The following is a 15508-nucleotide window of genomic DNA, read 5'->3' on the forward strand; positions in this document are numbered from 1 at the left end:
TCTGGACATGCGCGCCGTCGCGAGCGTCTCTGGGACCGGAAGTGCGGGCGAGCGCGGGTCCCCGGGTCTGACAGGAGCAGCCTGTGGGCACCGCGGCGGTAGTTGGAGGCGGGAGAGGGTCCGTAGCCGCGCCGCCCTGCCCCGCCATGGGCCTCCTGTCGGACCCGGTTCGCCGGCGCGCGCTCGCCCGCCTAGTGCTGCGCCTCAACGCGCCGTTGTGGTGAGGACAGGGCCCGGGGAGGCGGGGACCCGAGGGCCCTGGGCTCGCGCCGGCGGCCCCATGCGCGGTCCCCATCGAGGGCCGGGGCCGCTCCAGCTGCTCGCGCCCCTCCGGCTGCTCGCGCCCTTCCGCTCCTGCCCTCTGGAAGCACTGAGGGTATCAGGCCCAGGCTTAGGGCTCGGGTCCGGCGTCCCGATGCAGGACTCCGGGTTTAGGTCTCCCAGACCCGCGCGATCGACCCCGGGTGCGGAGGTTGTGGCCTCGGGTCGGCGTCTGAGGACCCGCTGACGCTCCGGTGCCCCTCCGTCCTCTCTCACAGCGTGCTGAGCTACGTGGCGGGCATCGCCTGGTTCTTGGCGCTGGTTTTCCCGCCGCTGACCCAGCGCACTTACATGTCGGAGAACGCCATGGGCTCCACCATGGTGGAGGAGCAGTTTGCGGGCGGAGACCGTGCCCGGGCTTTTGCCCGGGACTTCGCCGCCCACCGCAAGAAGTCGGGGTGAGCGGCAGAGCAGGGCGTATGGGGCGAGCAGTGGTGGCTAAGGCCGGGGAGCTCTGCTCAGAGGCTCCCTTCGTGTCTGCAGGGCTCTGCCAGTGGCCTGGCTTGAACGGACGATGCGGTCAGTAGGGCTGGAGGTCTACACGCAGAGTTTCTCCCGGAAACTGCCCTTCCCAGATGAGACCCACGAGCGCTATGTACTGGGGGAGTGGGGTGTGCCTGGGCCCAGAAAGCACCTTGGAGGGAGGGGTCTGGGCTGGGTATCACCTTGCGGGGGTGTCATGGGGCCAGGAAGCTCAGTGGGAGGGAAATCCCTGGTGGGCACTGGAGGGCTAGGAAAGTTGTGGGGGGCCCTTCAGCCCCCTACCACAAAGTTACACTGAGGCTCCCCCCACCGATGCTGCATACAGATGGTGTCGGGCACCAACGTGTACGGCATCCTGCGGGCCCCGCGTGCTGCCAGCACCGAGTCGCTTGTGCTCACCGTGCCCTGTGGCTCTGACTCTACCAACAGCCAGGCTGTGGGGCTGCTGCTGGCACTGGCTGCCCACTTCCGGGGTGAGTCTCAGGGCTGCTGGCCGTGGAGGGGTTTGGTCAGTGCCCCAGACCCTGCTGATCCTGCTTCTGGCCTCCAGGGCAGATTTATTGGGCCAAAGATATCGTCTTCCTGGTAACAGAACATGACCTTCTGGGCACTGAGGCTTGGCTTGAAGCCTACCACGATGTCAATGTCACTGGTAGGTTCTCTTGTCCTGCCTGCCCTGGTCCCCCTCTCAGGGTCACTGTCCTCACCACGTCCTCCATTAGCACTCATTCACTTGCTCCTACAGGCATGCAGTCGTCTCCCCTGCAGGGCCGAGCTGGGGCCATTCAGGCAGCCGTGGCCCTGGAGCTGAGCAGTGATGTGGTCACCAGCCTCGATGTGGCCGTGGAGGGGCTTAACGGGCAGCTGCCCAACCTTGACCTGCTCAATCTCTTCCAGACCTTCTGCCAGAAAGGGGGCCTGTTGTGCACGCTTCAGGGCAAGGTGGGGCTGCCTGCCTGCCTGAGGGCTGAAGGGCACAGGGTCTGTGGGAGGGGCTGTCTCATCCTGTCCTGCACCTCTAAAGCTGCAGCCCGAGGACTGGACATCATTGGATGGACCGCTGCAGGGCCTGCAGACACTGCTGCTCATGGTTCTGCGGCAGGCCTCCGGCCGCCCCCACGGCTCCCATGGCCTCTTCCTGCGCTACCGTGTGGAGGCCCTAACCCTGCGTGGCATCAATAGCTTCCGCCAGTACAAGTATGACCTGGTGGCAGTGGGCAAGTAAGTAGTCTCTGGTCCCCCCTTTCCATGCCCAGGATGGGGTCTAGCTGGAGCGGAGTGGGGGATGGCCTGGTGGCTCTGGCCAGCCGTGAACCTGCCCCACACCTGACAGGGCTTTGGAGGGCATGTTCCGCAAGCTCAACCACCTCCTGGAGCGCCTGCACCAGTCCTTCTTCCTCTACTTGCTCCCCGGCCTCTCCCGCTTCGTCTCCATCGGCCTCTACATGCCCGCTGTCGGCTTCTTGCTCCTGGTCCTTGGTCTCAAGATATCCTCTGCCCCTTGCCATCTACCTGTGACCAGCCTCCAGTCTCCTCAACTCTAGGCTGGGGAGAGTCTTCCATCCTGATGGGGGGTGGGGTACGGGGGTGAGCCCTGGGTCCCCCTCTGGGCAGATCCCGTTACACCTCTTGTTGGGGTCCTTGATTGGGCTACGCTCTGGAACTGTGGATGCAGCTGCATGAGGCTGGAATGGGCCTTGAGGAGCCCGGGGGTGCCCCTGGCCCCAGTGTACCCCTTCCCCCATCACAGGTGATGGCACCCCCTTCTGTTGTTGGAATGGGCTTCTGGGGTCTGACTGGTGTTTAGTGTTGCAACTTAGCCTCAGCTGGTGGGATGGTGGTGGTCTTTGGGGATCCCCTGGCCCCAGGGTCCATCTCCAAGAGCCTGTGTGCCCTGCAGGGTGTGGGGCTGGCCTCGCTCGTGGCACCTCTGCTGATCTCACAGGCCATGGGACTGGCCCTCTATGTCCTGCCAGTGCTGGGCCAACACGTTGCCACCCAGCACTTCCCAGTGGCAGAGGCTGAGGCTGTGGTGCTGACACTGCTGGCGATTTATGCAGCTGGCCTGGCCCTGCCCCACAATACCCACCGGTAAGAGGCTGGGCTGGTTGTTGGGGGCAGGGGTAGAGGTCCCCTGGACATGCAGACAGCTTGTGGGTTGCCTCTGAGTCCTTTGTCTTACAGGGTGGTAAGCACACAGGCCCCAGACAGGGGCTGGATGGCACTGAAGCTGGTAGCCCTGATCTACCTAGCACTGCAGCTGGGCTGCATCGCCCTCACCAACTTCTCACTGGGCTTCCTGCTGGCCACCACCATGGTGCCCACTGCTGCGCTTGCCAAGCCTCATGGGCCCCGGTATGTATGGATCAGCCCCACTTCCCCCAATGCCTGTGCCCTCATCACAGACCGCACCCTCATTCAGTAGCCCTTTCCCCCAACCTGGTGCCCATGCCCCCACCATGGAGCCTACCTTGATGTTGCTTCTCCACCCAGGACCCTCTATGCTGCCCTGCTGGTGCTGACCAGCCCGGCAGCCACGCTCCTTGGCAGCCTGTTCCTGTGGCGGGAGCTGCAGGAGGCGCCACTGTCACTGGCCGAGGGCTGGCAGCTCTTCCTGGCAGCGCTAGCCCAGGGTGTGCTGGAGCACCACACCTACGGCGCCCTGCTCTTCCCACTGCTGTCCCTGGGCCTCTACCCCTGCTGGCTGCTTTTCTGGAATGTGCTCTTCTGGAAGTGAGATCTGCCTGTCCGGGCTGGGACAGAGACTCCCCAAGGACCCCATTCTGCCTCCTTCTGGGGAAATAAATGAGTGTCTGTTTCAGCAGCTATTTGAGCTCCTGGCCCGCTGTCCGTGTAGGGCCCCAGGGCATGGGGGTGAGAAGCCTCTGTCTGCAGGGCTTGGCATTCCTCACACCTCCTCCCTGGCAAGGGCTGCTGTAGTCCACTTACTGGGTAGCATTCCTGCCGACCAGGGCTCTGCTGCTGCATCAGGTGCACTCTCAGCCCTGGCGGGTGCCATGCAGGCTCAGAGGGCTGTGTGCATTGCTCTGTGGTACTGTGCCAGGAGCGGTGCTGGGAAGGAGAATACACCATAGCCATGGTTTGAGGGCCTGCCAGGAGCTGAGGCACCCAGAAACCACCTAACACCATCTTTACTGCTAGGACTGAGGCTGGAGCTGGAGCCCTGCAGAGGAGGCCCAGGGTGCATGGCATGGGGCCCAGGCAAGGCCATCGCCTTGGTGTGGGATTGGGATGGAGCAGGGAGGAGCACCCGGCCTGGCTTCCTCAGAGTTGAGTCAGCCCAGGTGAGATGCCCACGAGGGGCTGGGCAGGCAACACAGTGGAGCCAGGACCCAGGGGCAGGCGGGGCACGGGGACAAGAGCCCCACGGGAGAGGGCACTGACAGGCCAGCAAGGAGAGAAGCAGGCTGTTATACTAGGACTCTGAAAGGAACTGGGAAGACCACTGTCTGTTCCAAAAGAAAGGAAAAACCTGTGGCCTTTAGGTGATGCCAGGGCCATGTCAGGGACCTTGGTGCTGCGGCTAGAGAGCCCTCTGGTCACAGGAAGGCAAAGGTGCCGCAGCCACACAAAACCATGCACAGGCCTCAGGAATCAGAGCCGTGCTGCCTGGAGAAGCCACAGCATCTTAGAATCAACTGAGGGCCAGGGTCCTTTCAGTACAGTGTCCCCAAATGGCCTGTTGTCTGGGAGGTTCCAAGGAGGGTGCCCTCCCTGTGCCCTACTCTGTAGGCCACTGCCTCTTCACTGGGTTATGTCTTCCTGCGGGAGGCTCCCCTTGACATGAGACCCCTGGTGTTGGGGGTTAGTCTATTGATGGGGCTCCACAGTTGGGGGATGGGTGGAGGGCTCCCAGGGTGAGCACCTAGGCGACTTCCAGAGTTTCTGCAGAGGAAACACATGTCTGCTGGGTGGGCTTACGTTCTCTGTGTCCAGCATTATTCGAGGCTTAGTGGGGATGAGGGGGTATCAGGAACCCCACTGTGACTGGTAGCCTCATAATTAACTTGCCTGTCTTCAGCCCCCTTGTCCCAGAGGTTGGAGTCTCTAGTCACTTTCTCCAGTGAATACTTCCTCTGAGGTTGGGTGGACGCCTGCAGTCCCCACCCTAGCCTGGCTGGTTTCCCCTGCCTCTCAGTACCCCTAGGAACACCTCCTAGGTGGGCATCACGTGCCTCCCATGCTAAATCAGCAAGGGAGACTCATCTGTCAGTCTCCTATTTTCCAAGAAGAAATCTCTGTTGTGGTCTCCTGTTCTCTTTGTAAGATGACATCTGATACAAAATCATCCTCCAGGCATTTTAGCTGGGCTTTGACCTCAACTGTTTTGTTTTTGAGATGGAGTCTTACACTGTAGCCCAGGCTGGAGTGCAGTGATGCAATCTTGGCTCACTGCAACCTCCACCTCCCTGGTTCAAGCAGTTCTCCTGCCTCAGCCTCCCAAGTAGTGGGATTACAGGTGCGCACCACCATGCCTGGCTAATTGTGTATTTTTAGTAGAGACGGGGTTTTACTATGTTGTCCAGGCTGGTCTCAAACTCCTGACCTCAGATGATCTACCCACCTACGTCTCCCAAAGTACTGGGATTACAGGCATGAGAGCCACCACACATGGCAGCCTCAATTGTTTTTTAACAGGACTTTGGCAGTCACTTAAAGCACAAATCATGAAAATACATACGTCGGGGGAAAAGCTAAAGGATACCTTGCTTGTGTTCTGAGTAGTTTGTGCAGAATTCTCCCTGCCTATACAAGTGTTAAAAGGGAACCATGGGAATGGCAAGGTTGCTTTGTTAGGGAGGTAGGATTTCTGTTCTGATTTTCAGTAATGACATGGGCTGAGGCTCCACGTTTCCCCCTCCCTGAATATTTTTTTTTTTTTTTTTTTTTGGACAGAGTCTCACTGTCGCCCAGGCTGGGTGCTATGGCGAGATCTTGGCTCACTGCAGCCTCCATCTCCCGAGTTCAAGTGATTCTCTGGGCTCAGCCTCTGTTATATGTAAAATGTTTATTTAGAAGCAGAATGTTCCCTGGTACCATAAGGAAAGATCAGCATTCAGACAAAAAGTTCTCAGCAAGTCAATTTTACTTTCTGCAGAAAGGGTGCTCCTTGCAGATGGAATGATGGCGAGAGCATACCTGAATAAAGGAGGGAAGCATTTTTATCTCTTAATGCAGCTTGTCCCTGCTACTGTGTCCTGTCTGCATTGGCTGGAACCAGACCTGAACCCGATGGGCTAACAGCTTAAACCCTTTTTTAAATAGGTAAAAGCAATGGAGAACAGAAGAAAAGAGGAAGTTGCTTACTAAAGGACTTAGAAAAGTAATAATATTCCCAAATAAGGAAGGGGCATAGGCTGCAAGCTGGGACATGCCTGTAAGCACGTCCAGCACAAATATTTTGGTTAAAGTACAAGGACATAGAATGTCCTTATTCCTTTATATCTAACAGCTCCATAGGATAGGGCTTAACAAAGAGTTATTAGCACGAAGCAAGGAGGCTTGAAGGAAGTTAGTCTTTAAAAGAAACACTTATAATTTATTTTTTAACAAGAAGGGAAACTTTGAAGAGGAAACTTTTTACTTTCTACAACCTCCCGAGTAGCTGGGATACAGGCATGCGTCACCACGCCCCACTAATTATTTTATATTTTTACAAATATTTTGGCTTCTTCCAATGTCCACGTTCTTACCAACACTTGCTAGTGTCCATCTTTTTTTTTTTTTTTTTGAGTTGGAGTTTCACTCTTGTCACCCAGGCTGGACTGCAATGGCACGATCTCGGCTCACTGCAACCTCCGCCTCGCAGGTTCAAGTGATTCTCCTGCCTCAGTCTCTCGAGTAGCTGGGAGTCCAGGCATACACCACCACTCCTGGCTAATTTTGTATTTTTAGTAGAGATGGGGTTTCTCCATGTTGGTCAGGCTGGTCTCAAACTCCCGACCTCAGGTGATCCACCTGCCTCAGCTTCCCAAAGTGCTGGGATTACAGGTGTGAGCCACCACACCCAGACCTGCTAGTATCCATCTTGTAGATTACAGCCATCCTAGTGGGTGTGAAGTGGCATTGCATTTTCATTTTGATTTGCATTTACCTAATGATTAATGAAACTAAAGCATCTTTTCATGTTATTATTGGCAATTGGTATATATATACATATACATATATATATATATATGTATATACATATATATATATATATATACATATATATATATATACATATATATATATATACATATATATATATATATATATACATATATATATGTATATACATATATATATATATATACATATATATATACTTCTTTTTTTTTTTTTTTTGAGACAGAGTTTTACTCTTGTTACCCAGGCTGGAGTGCAGTGGCACGATCTCGGCTCACTGCAACCTCCACCTGCTGGGTTCAAGTGATTCTCCTGCTTCAGCCTCCTGAGTAGCTGGGATTACAGGTGCGCGACACCACGCCCAGCTAATTTTTGTATTTTTAGTAGAGATGGGGTTTCACATGTTGGCCAGGCTAGTCTTGAACTCCTGACCTAGTGAGCCACCCACCTCAGCCTCCCAAAGTGCTGGGATTACAGGCGTGAGCCACCGCTCCTGGCCTGCCTGTTTTATTCTGAGAATTTTCTGGCTTTAGGTCTTAAACTTAGATCTTTGATTATTTTTCAGTTCTCGTAAATGGTGTATAAATGATGTGAGGTAAAGGAGCCAACTTCATTCATTCATTGACATTTGTTTTGCAAATCGTTGGCTTTTTGTTTTTGTTTTTTGGTTTTTTTTTTTTTTTTTTGAGACGGAGTTTTGCTCTTGCCCAGGCTGTAGTGCAATGGCTCAATCATGGCTCACTGCAACCTCCGCCTCCCAGGTTCAAGCGATTCTCCTGCCTCAGCCTCCCAAATAGCTGGGATTACAGGCATGCACCACCACGCCCCCTAATATTGTATTTTTAGTAGAGATGGGCTTTCTCCATGTTGGTCAGTCTGGTCTCGAACTCCGGACCTCAGGTGATCCCCCCACCTCGACCTCCCAAAGTGCTGGGATTACAGGCATGAGCCACCGTGCCTGGCTGTTTTGTTTGTTTTGAGATAGGGTCTCAACTCTGTTGCCTAGGCTGGATCGCAGTGGCATGATCACAGCTCATTGCAGCTTTGACCTCCCCAGGCTCAGGTGATGCTCCCACCTCACCCGCCTGAGTAGCTGGGACCACAGACGTGCATCACTCTTGGCTTTTTTAAGACAGGGTTTCGCCATATTGCCCAGGCTGGTCTCCTGGGCACAAGCAATCTACCTGCCTTGGCTTCCCAAAGTGCTGGGATCACAGGCATCAGCCAGCATGCCCAGCCCTGTTTGCATTTGAATATCCAATTGTCACAGAACCATTTGCTGGAGAGAGTCTTCTTTCTCCATTGGTCTCAGTACCCTTGTAAAAAAAAATCAAATGACCATAGATGTATAGTCATAGACTTTATTTGTGGACTCTCAATTCTATTCCATTGATCTATATGCCTATCCTTTTATCAGTACTAAAACCTACTATAAACCTACAGTAATCAAGTTTTGAAATTGGGTGATATAAGTCTTCCAGCTGTTTCACCATGTTAGCCAGACTGTTCTCGAACTCCTGACCTCAGGTGATCCGCCTGCCCTGGCCTCCTGATGTGCTGGGATTACTGGCGTTAGCCACTTCACCCAGCAAGCCTCCATGGTTTGAGAGGAGAAATCTTTTGTTAATTTTGTTGAGAATTCTTTTTTCTTTCTTTCTCTTTGTATTTATTATTACTTTTTTTTTTTTTTCTGAGAAGGAGTTTTGCTCTTGTTGTCCAGGCTGGAGTGCAATGGTCCAATCTTGGCTTACTGCAACCTCCACCTCCCGGGTTCAAGCGAGTCTCCTCCCTCAGCCTCCGGAGTAGCTGGGATTACAGGTGCATGCCACCAGGCCCGGCTAATTTTTTTTGTATTTTTAGTAGAGACACGGTTTTGCCATATTGGCCAGTCTGGTCTCGAACTCCTGACCTCAGGTGATCTGCCTGGCTCAGGCTCCCGAAGTGCTAAGATTACAGGAGTGAGCCACCGCGCCCGGCCAAGAATTATTTTTATGTGATGAGTCACTTCTCTCTTGCTGCTTTCAAGATTCTTTGTCTTTCAACAATTTGTTATGTGTCTCCTTTAGTTTATTCTACTTAGTGTTTGTTTAACAAAAAAACTAGATGTGCAGATTCATGTTTTTCATGAAACATGGCATGTTTTTGGCCTTTTTTTTTTTTTTTTTGAGACAGAGTTTCACTCTTGTTGCCCAGGCTGGAGTGCAATGGTGCAATCTTGGCTCGCTGCAACCTCCACCTCCAGGTTCAAGCAATTCTCCTGCCTCAGCCTCCCAAGTATCTGGGATTACAGGTATGCACCACCATGCCTGGCTAATTTTGTATTTTTAGTAGAGACAGGGTTTCTCCATGTTGGTCAGGCTGGTTTCGAACTCTCGACCTCAGGTGATCTGCCCACTTCGGCCTCCCAAAGTGCTGGGATTACAGGCATGCGCCATGACACCTGGCTAATTTTGTATTTTTAGTAGAGTCGAGGTTTCTTCATGTTGGTCAGACTGGTTTTGAACTCTCAACCTCAGGTGATCTGCCTGCCTCGGCCTCCCAAAGTGCTGGGATTACAGGTGTGAGCTACTATGCCCAGCCTTGGCCATTTTTTTTTTTTAAGTATTCTTACTCCTTTCTCTGTCTAGTCTACTCCTGGGACTGAAATTATGCATATGTTGGTATGCTTAATAGTGTCCCACAGGTCTCTGAGGCCCAGTTCATATTTCTTTCTTTTTTTAAATTTCTCTTCCTCAGACTTCCCTTTGTGTAGAGCCTCAAGGTCAGCCAGAGGTGAGAGTTTAGGGCTTTTTCAGGTCTCTCCTGAGTATATATCCATAGTCCTCCGTGTGTATATGACCTGTATTCCCAAAAATGTTTTGGGCTTTTCAAAGCGCCTGTGGACATCTCATTCCCTTGCTCTTCCTTTTTAGCTTTTTGTTTAGTCTATTGTTTGTGGCAACTGTTATCCATCACCTCAGGCAGCTGGCACTGGGCAAGCCCTGAGCCAATGTGGTAGGAGTCTTCTAGGCAGCCATCAGACACGTTCAATAACGGAGGTTCTGTGCGAATGAGGGCATTTTGCTCCCACAGTAACTAGGAATGTAGGTTCTTATTTCCAAGATTACCACTGAGCTGGAGGGCAGGGTTGAACCAGGGAAAGCTACAACCCACAAAGGCCACTGTTCTTACTGATAGTCACCTGTTTAATTGAATAACACCCCCTGGGATGACGACAGCCTTTGATTAATTTCCATAGCTTTGTAAAAGTTGATTCTGATCATTTTTGCTATGTTTTTCTTGCTCTTATTGGGTGAGGGGTGGGCACATTTTTTAGGGGTCTTTCTCCATTTTCACTGACAACTAATTTTGGATTTTTATTTTATTTTTTATTTTATTTTTTCTTGAGATAGAGTTTCGTTCTTGTTGCCAGGCTGGAGTGCAGTGGCGTGATCTCTGCTCACTGCAAACTCCGCCTCCTGGGTTCAAGCGCTTCTCCTGCCTCAGCCTCTGGAGTAGCTGGGATTACAAGCATGCGCCACCACACCTGGCTAATTTTGTATTTTTAGTAGAGATGGTGTGTAGAAAGTAAAAAGTTTCCTCTTCAAAGTTTCCCTTCTTGTTAAAGAATAAATCGTAAGTGTTAGAAATAATAGTTTCTTTTACAGACTAACTTCCTTCAAGCCTCCTTGTTTTGTGCTAATAATTCTTTTCTTTTCTTTTTTTATTATACTTTAAGTTCTAGGGTACATGTGCATAATGTGCAGGTTTGTTACAGATGTATACATGTGCCATGGTGTGCTGCACCCATTAACTCGTCATTTACATTAGGTATATCTCCTAATGCTATCCCTCCCCTCTCCCCCACCCCACAACAGGCCCCGGTGTGTGATGTTCCCCTTCCCGTGTCCAAGTGTTCTCATTGTTCAATTCCCACCTATGAGTGAGAACATGTGGTGTTTGGTTTTGCTAATAATTCTTTAAGCTCTATCTTATGTAGCTGTTAAACATGCTCACAGGCAGGTAGTACATTCTATGTCCTTGTACCTTAACCAAAATATTTGTGCTGGACGTGCTCACAGGCACGTTCCAGCTCACAGCCTGTGCCCCTTCCCTATTTGGCATAAGCAACTTCCTCTTTTCCTCTGTTCTCCCTTGCCTTTATCTATTTAGAAAAGTTTTAAATTATTAGCCAGTCGACTTTTAGTTTAGATTGTGCCATCTGGCTCTAGCCAATGGAGACAGGACACAGTAGCAGGGACAAGCTGTGTAAGGGATAAAAATAGCTTCTCTCCTTTATTCAGGTGTGCTCTCACCATTTTTCCATCTGTGAGGAGCACCCTCTCTGCAGAAAGTAAAATTGACTTGCTGAGAGAACTTTTTGTCGGAATGCTGATCTTTCCTTATGGTACCAGGGAACAAGCGTTCTGTTTCTAAATAAACATTTTACATATAACACAGGGTTTCTCCATGTTGGTCAGGCTGGTCTCAAACTCACGACCTCAAGTGATCTGGGGCCTCCCAAAGTGCTGGGATTACAGGCGTGAGCCACCGCACCCAGCCTAGTTTTTAAATTTTATTTGCTTTTTTTTTTTTCTTGAGAGGGAGTCTTCCGTCTGTCATCCAGGCTGGAGTGCAGTGGCACGATCTCTACTCACTGCAACCTCCGCCTCCCGGGTTCAAGCGATTCTCCTGCCTCAGCCTCCCAGAGTAGCTGGGACTACAGGCGCGCGCCACCACGCCTGGCTAATTTTTGTATTTTCAGTAGAGACAAGGTTTCACCATGCTGACCAGGATGGTCTCCATCTTTTGACCTCGTGATCTGCCCGCCCCACCCTCCCAAAGTGCTGGGATTACAGCGTGAGCCACCGCGCCCGGCCTTTGCTTACTTTTTAAATATTTTACAATAAAAATATTCTCACATAACAAGATCATATTTACTTACTTTTTTGAGACGAGGTCTCGCTCGATATCGCCCAGGCTGGAGTGCAGTGGCGATCTCGGCTCACCGCAGTCTCCACCTCCGGGGCTCAAGCGATCCTCCCGCCTCAGCTTCCCAAAGCGCTAGGACCCAAGGCGCGCATCACGCGTCGGGCCATGAGTCAAGGGAATGAAGGAGAACAGGGTGCTCAGCCTGGGGGCCCAGCCTCCCGCTGTCACGCGCTGCCTGCGGCCGAGACCCCTGCCCGCGCCCTCTGCCGGGCTGCCCTCCAAGCCGCCCTTTCTCTGGAGGTCCTCAGCCTGCAGGGGCACCCTCCACCCGGCCATCGCGCAGCCTGGGAAGGTGGAGAAAAGGAGCGTCGGGGTCTCGGAGGCGGCGTGGGAAACGCCGGGCGGAGCGTGGCGCTGTCACGGCAACAGAGAGACGCGACGGGGCCCCGCCCCACCGCCAGTTTCCACGACAACCCGAAGAGCGTGGGGAGGCAGGCGGTGCCCCGGCCCCTGACTGACGCGACCGGGACCAGCGCGCTTCGTCCCCGCCCACCCGACAGGCCCCGCCCCCGAGCCCGGCCCCGCCCCGCGCTCCCCGGCTTTCGCGAGGTTTTGACTCTCGTGGCGCCCCAGGGGCCGACGGGAGTGGCGGCCGCGCGGAGGAGGCCAAGATGGCGGCAGCTGCGGCTTCGCTTCGCGGGGTAGTGTTGGGCCCGCGGGGCGCGGGGCTCCCGGGCGCGCGTGCCCGGGGTCTGCTGTGCAGCGCGCGTCCCGGGCAGCTCCCGCTACGGACACCTCAGGTGAGCGCTGGGCCGGGCCCCGGCCTCCGCGCGGCCCCGCATCTCCGTGAAGGTCACGGCGGGGAGGCTGCGGGCGCGGGCCTGGGCAGCGCGGAAGCGGTACCGGCCACCCAGCGTCCCCGGTCCCAGCTGCCTGCCGACCTTGAGCGTGTGGGATCAGGGCTGGGCGCCCACCTCTCCGAACGGCAGAGAGCCCGTCCCCAGCGTGGGGGTTGGCGGGACGGGCTAGCTGCCGTGGCGGGGCTGGGGCTTTCCCGAATGGCGCGCCCAGGACGGCTCTTGCGGCTGGCTGTCCAAACTGGGCCCGCGTCCTGAAGTGACCCCAGCCTGATCTCGGCCAGCTGCTTGTGACCTTGGCCTGTCCCAGCACCCTTGGTCACTTCGGTCTGATCCCCGGCTCAGGATCCAGGAACACCCTCTCCTGAGAGCGAATCACGGTCTAGGGGTCAGCGGCGGAGAGGGATGGGGTGGGTAGTGGGACAGGGTGTGCGTCTGGTGCCCTGCAGGAGGAGGCCATTGCTGGGTGGAGAGGTGGGCGCTGAGAGTCAGATCCCCAGGTAGGGCTGGGTGGTGTCCTGGCAGGCGCTGAGCGGAGATCTTGCAGGCAGTGGCCTTGTCGTCGAAGTCTGGCCTTTCCCGAGGCCGGAAAGTGATGCTGTCAGCGCTGGGCATGCTGGCGGCAGGGGGTGCGGGGCTGGCCATGGCTCTGCATTCGGCTGTGAGTGCCAGTGACCTGGAGCTGCACCCCCCCAGCTATCCGTGGTCTCACCGTGGCCTCCTCTCTTCCTTGGACCACACCAGGTGTGCAGCTGGCTGGCTGGCTGGCAGCGGGAGGTTCTGGGTGGAGCTGGTAAGGTGGAATCTTCAGCTTTCCTAACCCTTTCCCTCCCTCCAGCATCCGGAGGGGTTTCCAGGTATATAAGCAGGTGTGCGCCTCCTGCCACAGCATGGACTTCGTGGCCTACCGCCACCTGGTGGGCGTGTGCTACACGGAGGATGAAGCTAAGGAGCTGGCTGCGGAGGTGTGGGGTCTGGGGATGCCTGGGACCCAGGGCTCAGGGCTCCCACTGTTGAGATGGCAGGGTTGTGATGAGGCTCTCGGTGGCAGGTGGAGGTTCAAGACGGCCCCAATGAAGATGGGGAGATGTTCATGCGGCCAGGGAAGCTGTTCGACTATTTCCCAAAACCATACCCCAACAGTGAGGCTGCTCGAGCTGCCAACAACGGAGCATTGCCCCCTGACCTCAGCTACATCGTGCGAGCTAGGTACACGGGCTGCCCATGGGGTGGTGCTGGAGAGATGGGGGAAGGGCTGACTTGTGCTTGGAACTAAGGAGCCATGGATCTGGTCCTAGGCATGGTGGTGAGGACTACGTCTTCTCCCTGCTCACGGGCTACTGCGAGCCACCCACCGGGGTGTCACTGCGGGAAGGTCTCTACTTCAACCCCTACTTTCCTGGCCAGGCCATTGCCATGGCCCCTCCCATCTACACAGATGTCTTAGAGTTTGACGATGGTAAGAGGCCTCCAGTCTGGCAGTGGGCATGTGGAATACTTCTCCACTACCCCCAGGGATGCTTTCCCTGTGTTCCTGGGTCCAGGAGGTCCTGCCCACTTCTTGTCTGGGGCGTCTTCTGTGCATGTCTCAGGAGGCTTTTGGGCTCCTTCAGTTTTGCGTATGTCCGGTGGAGGGTACTGCCCCTTTGATGCCTTGGGTAGGGGCAGTGTCTGCTTCACAGAGGGGGGGCATGATCCCAGGTTGGACATGAGCCTGAGAATAGCCCTCACTGCTTGTCGTTGGCCAGGCACCCCAGCTACCATGTCCCAGATAGCCAAGGATGTGTGCACCTTCCTGCGCTGGGCATCTGAGCCAGAGCACGACCATCGAAAACGCATGGGGCTCAAGGTAAAAGGGTTGGGAGGCCATGGTGGGTATCAGAGAAGGGCTGGGAGCTGGGCAGGGCTCCTCCCCACTCCCTTCTCTGAGCCTTCCTTGTCTGCAGATGTTGATGATGATGGCTCTGCTGGTGCCCCTGGTCTACACCATAAAGCGGCACAAGTGGTCAGTCCTGAAGAGTCGGAAGCTGGCATATCGGCCGCCCAAGTGACCCTGTCCAGTGTCTGCTTGCCATCCTGCCAGAACAGGCCCTCAAGCCCAAGAGCCATCCCAGGCCTGTTCAGGCCTCAGCTAAGCCTCTCTTCATCTGGAAGAAGAGGCAAGGGGGCAGGAGACCAGGCTCTAGCTCTGGGCCCTCCTTCAGCCCCCATCATGGGAATAAATTAATTTTCTCAATGTACATATTTGAGTTATTATATGGAAAGAGTGCACGTTTGCAAGGAACTCTGATACCAAGACCCTTGCCTTCACAAGGCTCCCAGGATGTCCCATGCAGTGTGGCCAGCAATGCCCTGCACTGACTGGTAGCTGGGAGTCCAGACAGTGGGTGTGGGACAGAAAGCGGAGAACTGCATGTTAGAGGAAGTCAGCATTTGGTGGGGTGGGGTGTGTCTGAGCACAGAGCTGAAAAGGGCCTAGCCAGGCAGGATGTGGCCCAGGGACCTGTTGGAATGAACAGCCAAGTGTTAAGGTGTTGAACCACTTGGCCCCCATTCTGATGGCAGCAGGGAACCTTGGCTGCATTTTAACAGGGGAAAGGCCTGGTCTAGGGCAGGGGCTATTTATTGCTGGGCTGGGCTGAGGAAGGGGATGGCTCCCAGCCAGGTGAAGGAGTCAAGTAGACAGACAGGATGTGTGTCATGGAGTGGCCCCTCCTAGCAGTCCACAGGGTAGCTAGGTGGTGGGTCCTGGCCAGAAGCTGGCAGTAGCTGGGTTCCCACAGGAGCATGCTGCTGAGGGAGGGAGA

At 54.6% G+C, this 15508-nt stretch overlaps 2 protein-coding genes across 2 annotated transcripts, besides 8 other annotated features; both read left to right on the forward strand.

The window, feature by feature from the left end:
* On the forward strand, positions 50-3632 carry GPAA1 (glycosylphosphatidylinositol anchor attachment 1). The gene is made up of 12 exons (NM_003801.4): positions 50-220; positions 540-719; positions 805-916; positions 1130-1277; positions 1355-1456; positions 1550-1746; positions 1829-2025; positions 2138-2291; positions 2459-2554; positions 2705-2895; positions 2989-3159; positions 3298-3632. Exons 1-12 carry the CDS (start codon positions 147-149, stop codon positions 3539-3541), a joined length of 1866 nt encoding a protein of 621 aa, NP_003792.1. The 5' UTR covers positions 50-146; the 3' UTR covers positions 3542-3632.
* Positions 132-381: a silencer, noted in NCBI's record as "silent region_19654". NCBI's record gives its function as "represses an Ori minimal core promoter by ATAC-STARR-seq in GM12878 lymphoblastoid cells {active_cell/tissue: GM12878}" and the evidence as "EXISTENCE:reporter gene assay evidence [ECO:0000049][PMID:35858748]".
* Positions 7443-7943: an enhancer, noted in NCBI's record as "H3K4me1 hESC enhancer chr8:145144930-145145430 (GRCh37/hg19 assembly coordinates)". NCBI's record gives its function as "activates a minimal SCP1, AML or CMV promoter by ChIP-STARR-seq in primed H9 embryonic stem cells {active_cell/tissue: H9 hESC(primed)}" and the evidence as "EXISTENCE:reporter gene assay evidence [ECO:0000049][PMID:30033119]".
* Positions 7944-8444: an enhancer, noted in NCBI's record as "H3K4me1 hESC enhancer chr8:145145431-145145931 (GRCh37/hg19 assembly coordinates)". NCBI's record gives its function as "activates a minimal SCP1, AML or CMV promoter by ChIP-STARR-seq in primed H9 embryonic stem cells {active_cell/tissue: H9 hESC(primed)}" and the evidence as "EXISTENCE:reporter gene assay evidence [ECO:0000049][PMID:30033119]".
* Positions 10902-11196: an enhancer, noted in NCBI's record as "tiled region #12380; HepG2 Activating non-DNase unmatched - State 2:TssF". NCBI's record gives its function as "activates a minimal TATA promoter and a strong SV40 promoter by Sharpr-MPRA in HepG2 cells {active_cell/tissue: HepG2}" and the evidence as "EXISTENCE:reporter gene assay evidence [ECO:0000049][PMID:27701403]".
* Positions 12331-12620: a silencer, noted in NCBI's record as "silent region_19655". NCBI's record gives its function as "represses an Ori minimal core promoter by ATAC-STARR-seq in GM12878 lymphoblastoid cells {active_cell/tissue: GM12878}" and the evidence as "EXISTENCE:reporter gene assay evidence [ECO:0000049][PMID:35858748]".
* Positions 12331-12761: a biological region, named in NCBI's record as "ReSE screen-validated silencer GRCh37_chr8:145150053-145150248".
* CYC1 (cytochrome c1) lies at positions 12492-14941 on the forward strand. Its single transcript, NM_001916.5, has 7 exons — positions 12492-12644; positions 13249-13445; positions 13540-13666; positions 13753-13910; positions 14000-14160; positions 14450-14550; positions 14648-14941. The coding sequence occupies exons 1-7, from the start codon at positions 12516-12518 to the stop codon at positions 14750-14752; spliced, it is 978 nt and encodes a 325-aa protein (NP_001907.3). The 5' UTR covers positions 12492-12515; the 3' UTR covers positions 14753-14941.
* Positions 12566-12761: a silencer, noted in NCBI's record as "fragment chr8:145150053-145150248 (GRCh37/hg19 assembly coordinates)". NCBI's record gives its function as "represses an EF-1alpha promoter that drives an FKBP-Casp9 reporter gene in an ReSE screen in K562 erythroleukemia cells {active_cell/tissue: K562}" and the evidence as "EXISTENCE:reporter gene assay evidence [ECO:0000049][PMID:32094911]".
* Positions 13661-13710: an enhancer, noted in NCBI's record as "active region_28088". NCBI's record gives its function as "activates an Ori minimal core promoter by ATAC-STARR-seq in GM12878 lymphoblastoid cells {active_cell/tissue: GM12878}" and the evidence as "EXISTENCE:reporter gene assay evidence [ECO:0000049][PMID:35858748]".

This window comes from Homo sapiens, chromosome 8 (assembly GCF_000001405.40).
Source record: "Homo sapiens chromosome 8, GRCh38.p14 Primary Assembly".
NCBI classification, from domain to species: domain Eukaryota; kingdom Metazoa; phylum Chordata; class Mammalia; order Primates; family Hominidae; genus Homo; species Homo sapiens.